At 31.3% G+C, this 12,828-nt stretch overlaps 1 protein-coding gene across 22 annotated transcripts in view; it reads right to left on the bottom strand.

Annotated features, from left to right (window-relative positions):
- The window catches only part of LRRIQ1 (leucine rich repeats and IQ motif containing 1), a 236,455-nt gene that overhangs the window by 163,362 nt on the left and 60,265 nt on the right, over nucleotides 1-12,828 (bottom strand). For 18 of the 22 annotated variants that reach the window (XR_944764.3, XM_011538819.4, XM_024449222.2 and 15 more), the window contains 4 exons: nucleotides 10,896-11,089; nucleotides 10,450-10,577; nucleotides 5,367-5,440; nucleotides 2,829-2,922 (listed from right to left, as the gene is read on the bottom strand). Coding sequence is in view for 18 of the 22 variants with exons in the window: in XM_011538819.4 (XP_011537121.1) it covers nucleotides 2,829-2,922; nucleotides 5,367-5,440; nucleotides 10,450-10,577; nucleotides 10,896-11,089 (490 nt within the window). In the remaining 4 variants the exon portion in view is untranslated. Of the gene's footprint in view, nucleotides 1-2,828; nucleotides 2,923-5,366; nucleotides 5,441-6,497; nucleotides 6,583-10,449; nucleotides 10,578-10,895; nucleotides 11,090-12,059; nucleotides 12,204-12,828 lie in introns of those variants that run through there. The other 4 variants (XR_944765.3, XR_944766.3, XM_011538825.3 and 1 more) reach the window with 3 other exon arrangements.

The following is a 12,828-nucleotide window of genomic DNA, read 5'->3' as shown; positions in this document are numbered from 1 at the left end:
CTTTTTTGGAAACCTGGCTCTAAAGAAAAAAGAAAGAAAAATGGACTTTCTGGGCCAAGATAATAACTCTTCTAAGATATACAAGTTACCAATATGCAGTAAATTACATAGGTGTTTGAGTTAGTGTAAAAATGCTTCTACCTTCTTAACCAAAGACCAAGTAACAAATCCAGGAAACAAATTAACCTAGAAAGAATGTCAGAGGTTTGCAGTAGCCTCAGACAAGAGTGGGAAGACAGACTATTCCCCAGACTCTAATAGCTTGTTCTACAGGTACATTAAGTCAGATATGGGAATTTTAAACATAACCAGACATTTAATTCTTCTGTAATATATCTTATACTCCTCTGAAATTGTCAGATCCAGGATCTTCCTGGACATGGCCACACCTTGCAGAGAAACCAAATCAGGGCAAAAATTCAACAGCTTCTGCCCTAGGATCAGGTGTTATAGCTATTTTTTTTTTAGTTTGTGTTTTGTTCATAAATGTATTTTAACTGCCTGAACAAATTGACAAGTTTTCCTGATTTGATTTAAACTCTAATGGTCCTAATACATATTTTGCTACCTAATATGTATTTTAGTAAATGTGTGCCTTCCCCTATACTTAGCATGTTTGTATTGGCAAACTCATTTTCCTAAATTGTAGCCTTGTTTATGCTTGGCTTATCCTGCCTTGATGTACCAGTGAAATGACAGTATAAAAATGTCAAATGTACAATAAATAATGTGAAACCATCTCAAAAGTGAATGTTCTGAGCATAAAAAAAGACAAAAGTGTAAGCCAGAATGATCACCAATTCCACAGTGGAAAATTTCACAGTGGACATATGCAAATTCTCTCAGTATTCTGGGAGGTAATTCACTTAAACTTGGCAAATCAGTAATCTTCTGTTGATGTGTAAGAAAAAGCCATCTAAATTCAGGGGAAAGGACCAGTAGAAACTGAAGGCAGAACTATAGGAACTGACATAGGAGATTAGTTCCCACAGGCAAAGTTAAAAGAATACATAGAAGACCGGGCACAGTGGCTCACATCTGTTATCCCAGCACTTTGGGAGACTGAGGTGGGAGGATTTCTTGAGCCCAGGAGTTCGAGACCAGCCTGTCTCTATATGAGACATCTGGAAAAAATACTCAGAAAATTGTCATCATAGTAGTAGGGCTAAATTAGCATTACTCCAACGATTTCTTTGGACCATTCTAACAGAACTTAAAAGCAAGCTTAGAAAGTATCGCATTAGTGCCAAGTAACTTAGCCACTGCACACCAAACATAAAATAGAGGCTATTTAAAGTAATACAATGAAATTAAGCATTGGGAATATAAAATTCAAAATGTCCAGAATACAACCAATACTGACCAGGCATGCAATGAAGCAGAGAAATATGATCCAGAATCAGTGAAAAAAAATTCAATACAAGTAGACCTTCAAATGATAGAGATGATGGAAAGAACAGATAAGGAAGTTAAATTAATACAGCTATTATTATTTTCCATATGTTCCAGAAGGTTCCAGAAAGCATGAGCATGATTAGAAGAGAAATTACAAATGTTAAAGAAATACACAAATTTATATAGAGGAAAAATATATCTGCAATCAGAAATGAAAAATAGATGAGTCTGAAAGCAGAGTAGATACTTAAACAGAAAATATCAGAGAATTTGAAGACAAAGCAATAGAAACTATTCGGAGTGAGTGAGGCATGGAAAGGGAAATAAATAATAATAAGTAAAAGAAAACAACAGCAACTCCTGGGATAATTCAAGTGGTCTGATATTGTTGAAACTGGAGTGCTACTAGGGCAGAATAGGTAGTGAAAGGGAGAACAAAAAAATCTGAAAAAAAAATGGCCATAAATTTTCCAAATTTTATGAAAATGGCAGATCCAAAAAGTGTGATAAATCCCAAGTAAACTAAATGCAACCACACCAAAACATACTGTAATCAAATTGTTGAATACCAGTGATCAAGAGAAAATCTTAAAATCATTCTTAGAGAAAGAAAGACAAGAATGTCAGTAGACATTTCTCACCAGAAACAATGAAAGCCATAAAAGAGTGGAGAGATGTTTTTAAAATACTAGGGGAGGGAACTTATTGCAAAAAAGCATGAGGTATTTCTTAAGGTGATAAAAATGTCCAGTTTTTCACAAAATATTCATATTCATAAACAAAAATGATAAAAATTATGCTATGTAAGTTATCACAAAATAGCTAATTTTTGAAAAAAGATGGTGGTCAATTTGGGGGAAATCGTGTTAGTATATTATTAGAAGTGTAAATGAGAAAACTTTTTTCTACAAAAATGTATTAAAAATTACAAAATATTTTTCTTGGTTTACATTTAGGTATTGCAATATTCCAAAGAGGAGCAAGAATTTAAATATGCTTATAACACAAACTTTTTAACAGACACCATCCTTCTCTATTAGGAAAATAAAACAAAACCAAATTACTCTCAAAAAGGAAACAATTTAAGTAGGAAGCTATGTAATTATATTATTGGCAAAAAAGCAATTCTCAACAAATATATTTTCTATAAATGCAAAACCCAAGTTAATATCACACTAAACTTGTCACATAATTAATGGTTTACATTACAATTTTAATTTCAATTTTGTATTAGTTCACACATGTGCAAGAAAATTATTTTAGAATAAAAACATTTTTAAAACTACTTTTACAAAACTTTTTTGGTTTAAAATGACTTTTAATTTTTTAATTAACTTATCCTAGGTAATTGTTATTCACAGGACAATTTTTATCAAACTTTTTTCTGCAACTATAATAATGGATATACATGGGGTGCAACAATGCCTCTTTACCTCCAGTTTGTTTCTTGAAGAAGTGGGTTTCCAGTAAGAGACAATTCATGGAGAGAATAGCATGCATCAAACCATTTTATGGCACTTTTAAGATCTACAGAAAATAAAATCATTTTGAAAGGTATCATCACAGATTTAGAACAAATATCATAAATCTATGACCACTGTATTTACTGGTTTGCTATTAAAGAAAAGCAATATTTTTATTTCTTCTGCAGAATGCTATATGCTTTTTAAAGAAGACTGTGTTAAGGACACAGACTATTGTCAGAATATATGTTTCTACCATTTAACAGCTGTGTGAACTTTTGCAAATCTGCTTTACAATTCGGGTTCATATCTGTCTTATAGGGTTAGGATTAAATGAGATAATGTGTGTAAAAGACTTAGAATAGTTTGTGACAGATTGTAAGCACAAAATCTGAAGAAGTAAAATCTAAAGTAATAGGATAAGTGTTAAAATTGTATATACAACAAAATAGATTGCATGGACCTTTTTACCTTAAAAAAGTCAATATAGGGCCGGAGGCAGTGGCTCACACCTGTAATCCCAGCACTTTGGGAGGCCGAGGCGGGCAGACCACCTGAGGTCAGGAGTTTGAGACCAGCCTGACCAACATGGAGAAATCCCATCTCTACTAAAAATACAAAATTAGCTGGGCATGGTGGCGCATGCCTGTAATCCTAGCTACTTGGGAAGCTGAGGCAGGAGAATCACTTGAACCCGGGAGATGGAGGTTGCAATGAGCTGAGATCATGCTATTGCACTCCAGCCTGGGAAACAAGAATGAAACTCTGTCTCAAAAAAAAAAAAAAAAATAGAAAGAAAGAAAACTAAAATGACCTGTCCTAAAATAGAATAAAACTAAGCCCGGCAGGAAAAAAATTATTTAAAAATTATTCATAATTAATTTGACTTCCTGCAAGAATAAAACTTATCATCCTTTAAAGGAAGACAACAACACCCTGACTTACTGAACTATCTACAATGTTCAATGTAGAATTATCTACAATGTTCAACAAATAGTTAAAATTTACTAGACATCCAAAGAAATAGGAAAACATAAGCCATAGTTATGAGAAAAGCAATCAATGGAAACATATCCCAAAGAAAACAAAATGTAAAACAATTTTTGCACAAAGGTGGCAAAGTAATTCGATTATGAAAAAAAAAGGTTATTCAACCAGTGTGGCTAGAACAATTCGATATCCATATAAAAAATGAACTCAACCTCTACTTCACACCATACATAAAAATTAATTTGAGAGGGATCATAGGCCTAACAGTAAAAAACTGAAAGTACAAAAGCTTCTAGAATAAAGCACAGAAAATTATCTTTTCAACCTGGGAGTGAAAATTTTATTATAAAAGGACACACAAAAATAACGAAAAAATTAAAAATATCTACTCATCTAAATATACCATTTAGAAAATTGATAGGTAAAACAAAGGCTAGAAATTTATAAGACAATGATGTCCAGAATATGTAAACATTTTTATAGATCAATAAGAAAAATAAAAATAGTCACATTTCCAAAATGGTGAAACACTTGAATAGACACAACAAAAGAGGGTGCAAAAATCACCAATAAACACTTGTAAAGAAGTTCAACGTCTTTATTCATCAGGTCAATGCAAACTAAAACCACAATGAGATAACATAGTAAATTATTAAAAGCTCTCAAGAATGGAGCAATTGTAACTCTTATTTCTGGTGTGGTTGTAAAATGTTCCAACTACTTTGGAAAATAGTATGTCAGTTTCTTTTAGAGTTACACCTACTCTATTATCCAACAATTATACTCTTACACATTTACCCAAGAGAAGAGAAAACTTAAGCCTGCAAAAATACTTGTACAAGAACCATAGGAACTTTGTATTCATAAACCCCCAACCACAAACAATCAAAGTATGTTCAACAGGGGAATGGATAAACAAACTGTGATATATTCATATATCCCTTACACTTCAGAAAAATAAATATATTTAATAAATATATAAAGTGGTAGAATGTCAGATGCTAATATCACACAAAGAAAGTTGTAGAAAAAAAGGAATGTACTGTTTGATCCAATTAATATAAAGACAAAATTAATGTGTGGTGATAAATTCAGTCTGTGGCTGCCTCTAGGAGTGGACTGACTGGGACTGGGAATGAGGAAATTTTGAAGAAAGGAAGGAGTCAATTCAAGTCATGATTCTTTAATAAATTTTTAATGAGTGACTACTCTATACCTGTTAGAAAGGTATACTGTTTGCTCATCTTCATTAGGCTATATATTTCATAAGTAAAAGATGTATGACTTTTAAATAAAAGGATAACTGTGACTTTGGCTAGGCCTACCAGAAAGATGTGGAAGTAATATGACTGTAAAAGTGGAAATAAAATTTCAAGTGAATTATTTCAGCATGCTTTATTTTACAGGTTTATTATATGTAAATGCCATTAACTTATGCATTTAAAACAACCCCTTATCATATTTGAAACAGAAAGTCAAAAGTCTATTATTAAAATATATATATTATGCTAAACTTACCAGAAAGACAATTGTGGCTGACATCTAGCTTTTCCAATGAAACAAAATGAAAAAGTGGTACGATTTTAGTCAAGCTGAAAACAAAAACAAAAACTTCATCAAAATTCTAAATTGGAAAGTCCTTAATGTTACCATTGTAACTATATAACAATACATTTTTATAATACAATTATATAATTATACACATTTTATACAATTTTATATATACAATTATAATTGTACAATAAAATTATAGCACTTGCTAACAGTGCTTTTTACAAATGCAGTAATTATAGACTTCTACGTATTTATGATGGAAGACTTCTATTCATTTTGTAAAAGAAATCCTGAAATTACTAATTTCAATCACAAAAATCATGGATTTTCATGTGTATTCGCTATTTAAATAAGAATAAGTGTGTTTTCTTCTGATTATTTTGTTTTGTATTCATATAAGGCCAAATTTACAAAGAATTTACATTTTTTATTTATTTTTCTCCCTGCCTAAAACACATAACCAAAACTTTTAAGGTACAAATGAAAAATCACTTTTCAACAGGAGAAATTACTACTTTTCAACAGGAGAACTAACTAATCACTAGTTTTGTTTTAAAAAATCTTTCTTTACTAATTGAAAGTATTATAGTACTGTAAGTATTCAAAATTAAACTGGGCTTACTTTTAAATTGGAAATATACTCAATATGTAAATAAATGAGTATAAGAACAGAATAACACAAAATGTTTTACCTCAATAGAATGGACTTAAACTTGGCCAAAACACACTGATATTTAAAATTAATACTAATTAATTATGCATATTATAATATAGTAATAATTAATTTTCCTCCATTTAAAGGTTTTTATTGTCTTCTAAGTTATAATTGTTATCGAAAACCCATATTCAAACAAAAATAGTGATATTAAAAATACCCACGTCATTGGAAACAAAAGCTATAAAGGGTAAATTAACTCTACTTTGATTTGCATTTCCAACTAGGACAAGTCTACACTTACTGTGTAACATAATATCACATTACCTGTAGCTATTTGGAAATTAAATGAAGCCAGCTCATCTGAATCTTTAAGCAAGATAAAAACTCCTTAGTAAAATATATATATATATATATATATATATATTTTTTTTTTTTTTTTGCCACAATTAGAAAAGCCTTCTGAATTAATTCCCACTATAATTCCATAGCTGTTCAAAATATGCTTTGGCTCAAGGTCTATCTCTGTTACAAAATAAATAAGTATGCATTAATTTTCACTTTTATTGCTTTCGTGTTTTTTATACTCTCCCTCCAGTTGTCCTGGAAGGGTCCTTTACCTCTTTATTTCTACAAACTCACTGCCATAGAAAACACCACCACCAACAACAACAACAACAAAATCTCTTATTTTTATATTCTCAGGTCAGAAGCTCACAGAGTAACCCTGTGAGTGGAAGCCTCATGGGGTGTGGCAGAAGATTAACCCTTGTATTGACCTTCACTCTTCCCTTGTACTATCCCTTTCAGCATTAGCAGAGAGAAAGAAGATACACTACTGATGAAAAAGTAGATGATATAATGAGGCTGGGAGAACATTTCTCTGCATGTTGCCAATCCTAAATACAATATTACATTCATATTAAACATATAAGATCCCACTTCTTAAAAGCAATTTCCAGGAGAAAAATATCCAAGGTAATAAAAGTGAGAATGTATTGGCCATTACATACACTGAATTATTTGTACATATACTCCATAACAGTGAAATTTACTGAAATTTCACATTGATATTGAAGTAAAGAAAAGGAAAAAAAAGTCAAGGGAAGGGAAGGGAAGTGGGGTGGGAAGACATGGAGGGATAGAGGAAATTCAGGCTTTACCTTTACATAATTAGTGGGTTTAAGTCTCAATTTTATGACATTTCCTATTCAAGCACGTTCTGTATAATTGTTACATGCAATATATATATAAATATAATTCAAGTAAAAATAAAATTTTAATAAATGTACTTATTAAAAAGAAAATTGTTTCTGTGCTCTACCCTTAATATATTTCTAATACTAACTCTTCACCCTTCCAGTGAAAGGATTTTGAAATATTAATAGTAATGGCATATTAAACCATTCAGAATACAACTTTTTTTCTTTTTTCAGAGTATCTCATGTTTTTAGCCAGTAAGTTATACGGTAACATATAGGTTATAAAAAGACCTCAAATGCAAATAACCAACAATTTTTTTTAGAATCAAAAATCAATAAATCTTTGCAAAAATCAATCAAAGTGAAGAAATATACGCTTTGAAAAAATCTTTTTGTAATATTGAAAGTAATCTTTTCAGATAACCGTGCTGTTAATATCATGTTTGTTTTCTTCTTCTGAAATTTTAATCAAGAAAACTGGCTACTCATTCACCTTTATAACTATTCATTAGGATGGTAGAAACTTAATAGTATAATCCTTTTTTAAAAAACCTCTAGAACTTTTCCTTTTACCGACATTCTGTGCATATTATTTCCAAGAAAATTCAAACCAGAAAGACAAAGGACATTAGTGAAAACCTAAAACCATTTGACCTTGTCACATTAGCCCTGGGCATTAAAAAGATATAAATTTCAAAGACGACAAAAAGCAAAAGATTTGTACAATGAACAGCCAATGGGTAATAGTTTCCACTTTGTGCTCCTACTTAGAGTCTCACTGGAAGTAAAAAGGCTTATAAAGCCAGAGAGTCATCCAGTTAGAACTCCACTAAGTCAAACTTAAAACAGTCACATGTCTTACTGAAAATTTAAAACAGAAATCAGGATGAAACAAGTATTTCAAACAATATGTACTAAGTATCATTCTTTATATGTATTCCATTTGTTGGGAAAAAAAGCATATGGACACATAATATCTTCTTTGTGATGAAAATATCAAAAATTAAAGGAAAAGTATATATAATTTAAAATCCATACCAAACACAAATCCAAATATCACATTATAAAATTATTCTCCCTTTCCTCTTGGATCATCATTAAAATCCCATAAACTAGGTAAGATAGGCATTACCACTTTTATACTTGTGAGAAAAAACTGAGGGTCAGAGAGCAGAATTGCTCAACATCTACTGACCAAGTTGTAGGTTCAATATTTAAACATAGATTTGGTTTTATCAAACCTAATATGGTTTTTTAAAAAGTCATTTCACATGTAAGAGCATAAATTAAAATAAATTAAAATAGATAATTTCTACAGTCAATGAAAATAAACTTGTGAAATATTCTAAGGTTGAAGATTATCTTTACACTATGACATTACAAAATCATTTTAGTATTCCATATGTCCTTTGCTATCAATGACATTTCCCTGGTGCTCTTGGGCCTTCTCCCTTCATCCTCTCAATAATGGCAGAAGGTTACAGGTACAAAGAGCTCTGACAGACTCAAAAGAAATACATTCCAGTATCAGTGACAGTATTATTTGAAATGTCAAAATCACATATATTATACAATAATTTTACTTTTTGGTATAGATGAGTTTTAAAAATTAAGTTCTTTTATGCCAAAATGCTCTGTGGGTGTAAGAACATACATTACTCATTTTTTTATCCCCCAAATAGCAAACCCCATCTCAATAGTCAAACGTTATAAGATTATGCAAACAAAATTATAAATAGAAAACATTTGTATTAATCATTCCAATTATCATGCTCAGTTCTAAAAAATATTTAATTCTCTAGTTTATATAATTCCCATTTTATCAGCTTGATATGCATATGTCATATCATACTGATAGAGCAAAAGTCTATCAGCTAGTATTAAATTTAATTTTTAGAAATAGACTATCTTTGATAACTTAAATTGCCCAAATAAATTAAAGGCATTACTTGTCAAAAAATTTCTTGATTTTCTTTATAATCTCTTTAAATATTTTATGCTTATTAATGTGGCTTGAGGTCCACTTTTATAAAATACGTTAGGTATCTCAATTCCTCCGTGACTTACTGCGTATGTCCAAAACATAGCTGAATATTTCATTTTGAAAGTATACTCTGTACCTGGAAAATATTCTGAAAAGATCCAAGGAGTTTGTGAATTGCCCAAATTACTTACACAGTATTATCTGATGGAGCTGGCTCTGGGAACAAATGTCCTTTTAAATTCAAGTCAAATTTTAAATTTTACATTGGATTAAAGTAATTTGAGGGGATTTTTTGAATACATATTTGTTTTTCAATGTCAAATTGTAATAGGTGGAAGTTAAGTCATTTAGTATATGCCTGCTTAAAAGATGAACACTGTTGTGGAAGAGATTGAGAGATGATTTTATATGTCTTGGGGGAAAATAGGTATATATGTAAAAATGATATTGTCCTTATTCGTGTGTTTTGTGAGCATTGTATAACTTAAAGAAACAATTTATTGTTAAAGGTGGTTTCTTTCCCCTACTCCTTGTGCCTTTGATGAAGAAATTAATCATATTATAGTGAATGGATTACAATGAAATATTAAGCAGAGGAGAAATACACATATTGTGCTCCTGCTTTGGTTTAGCCAGTTATTCTCAGCAAAGATCCAGATGTTTGGTGGTTTCAAATAGATCTTCTGAGGCAGGTACCCATTTCAATTGAATGTTAAGGTATTTTTTTAAGTGTTACTTTATATCCTTAGGGAAAACAAATTTAAATCCATCCTAACAGTTTCAAAAAGACAAGCAAGTTGAGAGCAGAGTAAAAATTGTCCTTCCAGGACTTAATAAGTACCATTTGAGAGAATGAGACATCCTTCTGAATTAAATTAACTACCTCCTGTATTTTCCAAGGACTATGCTCCGTATAAACATAAACAAATCTTCCCTGAGAGATTTATACAAGTGCATCTTTGAGAAGAAATAAAATTAGAAAGATAAATGGACAATTAAAATTCTACTAAAATTTTAGGGTATGCCAATAATTCATCTTAATTTTTAAAAATTCTATAATGTTATTTTTATAATTTATATACTAATTTATTTTGATGCAATCTCATTGAATTATTAGAGAAATCTAACTTTTATGGTAGTTTATGAACATCACATATTTATTTTAAACAATCATTCACTGAATTTATTTCTTAAGTATGCTTTTACCTGTTTTGAGAGATAGTAATATTTTGTAGTAAAGGCAGCCAGTATGAAGAAAATGCTTCCACAGTTGAAATGCTGTTATCATCCAAGTGCAATTCTCTTAGTAAAACAAGATTCTCCAAGGATGGAAGCTATATTTAAATTTGGTTCATTAGTTTATATTAAGCAAAATATTTTATCATTTAGCCCAATTAAAAAATACACAACCTTCCAAAACTAACAACAGATAGATTCTGATAAAGTGCATATCATAAGGTATAAGACTTTTTAAATATGAATAAAATTTCTATTAATTAACTGTATAATATTTAATATTCTTGATAAAGGTTACTTCATGGTGAAAAATGAACAAAATAATTATTCAAAATTGCTTTTAATATGTGATTGGTATTTCTATCAAAAGAAAAGTGTTGCTTTATCACAGAAATCAATTAATTCAAAGCAATTACCTCACTCAGATAATTTCCCTGTAACTTCAATATTTGGAGCAATCCACAATTTTCAACGCCCTCTACATCAGTAAGATGATTATGGGAGCAATCTAGGTATACAATGGTAGGTGTATCACAAAGACCTTTTGTATTAATTAACTGATTGTGGTCCAAAATTAGTTGTTGAAGATTTTTCAAAGATTCTAAACCACCTAGAAGAAAAAAGTTATAAGATCACCTGTGTCATACAGTCTTCCAGACTCTAGAAGAAAGTTTCCATTTTTTTTCTAAATAATTGCACCTTTGTATTTCTCACTATCATTAATTACAAGTGAGGACTTAGTCCAAATTCCTGGTGAAACATATCTTGTAAACTGTGTTATTATTTAAACTGGCATCTGGGTGACATATTTTTGAATGACATAATTATCTATCAATTAAAAATTGCACAAAGTACTAAAAGGCATACACTGGGAATGAATGCTTTATATTCAAATAAGAACAAAACAAGGGAGAGATATAACGACTTTTTTCTTAAAAGAATAGTTTTTAACTCATTCCAGAGCCTTTGAACTTTGAATCCTTGCTTCAGGTTGCATGTATAGTATTAGAATGTCATTTTCCTACCATTTGAATACAGAACCAATGAATTAGTAGCATATTCTTCAGGTATTTCAATATTGTCATGAGGGACCTCCTCTTTGACCAGATAAACTTAAAATCAGTATGATACTATCTACAAAATATTAGATGAGCCTTCGAAACTGTAACTCAGTGGTCATAAGGAAAAAACTGAGAAGGTTGCTTAAATCAGCCATCAGGAGTTAGCATGAGAAAAAGATGCTGAGGAAGTGTGTAAAGTTTCATGGAAGATATTAAAAATCTAGAAAATGTTCTTTAAATTAGATACTAGACTATGCATTTTTTTCTGTAGGTGTTACTCTGTTCGTTAAAATTATGTAGCCATAAAAAAGGATGAGTTCATGTCCTTTGTAGGGACATGGATGAAGCTGGAAACCATCATTCTGAGCAAACTATCGCAAGGACAGAAAACCAAACACCGCATGTTCTCACTCATAGGTTGGAATTGAACAATGAGAACACTTGGACACAGCGGGGGGAACATCACACACTGGGGCCTGTGGTAGGGTGGGGTGAGGGGGGAGGGCACTGGAGATATACCTAATGTAAATGATGAGTTTAAAAGTGTGTGGCAGTTCCCCCTGCTATTTCTCTCTCTCCTGCCACCATGTGAAGAAGGTGCTTTGTTTCCCCTTCAGCTTCTGTCATGATTCTAAGTTCCCTGGGGCCTCCCGGTCATACTTCCTGTTAAGCATGCAGAAAGGTGAGTCAATTAAACCTCATTTCTTTATATATTACCCAGTCTCAGGTTGTTCTTTATAGCAGTGTGAGAATAAACTAATACAATGCCCCCTTAAAAGGCACAAATTGAGAAGCTGAATAAAAAACAAGACCCATCTGTCTGCTGTCTTCAAGAGGTCTACCTCACATTTAACAAAACATATAGGCTCAAAGTAAAGGGTTCATGAAACGTCTATCATGCAAGAGAAAACATAGAAGAGCAGGAGTTGCTATACATATGTCAGATAAACTATGCTTTAAACCAACAACAGTTCAAAAGGACAAAGAAGGGCATTGCATAATGATAAACGGTTTAATCCAACAAGATGACATAATTACCCTAAATACATACAGATCCAACATTGGAGCTCCTAAATTAATAAAAAGAGTACTTCTAGACCTACAAAAAGACTTAGCCACACAGTAATCATGGAGGACTTCAACTTCCCATGGATAGCATTAGACAGATCATCACTTAAGCAGAAAACCAACAAAGAAATTCTAGACTTAAATTTGACACTTGAGCAACTGGAACTAATAGGTGTCTACAGAATGCTCTACCCATAAACCACAGAATATACATTCTTCT

This window comes from Homo sapiens, chromosome 12 (genome assembly GCF_000001405.40).
Source record: "Homo sapiens chromosome 12, GRCh38.p14 Primary Assembly".
Classification (NCBI taxonomy): Eukaryota; Metazoa; Chordata; class Mammalia; order Primates; family Hominidae; genus Homo; species Homo sapiens.
The sequence above is the reverse complement of the archived record's forward strand: the minus strand, read 5'-3'. Positions and strand labels throughout refer to the sequence as shown.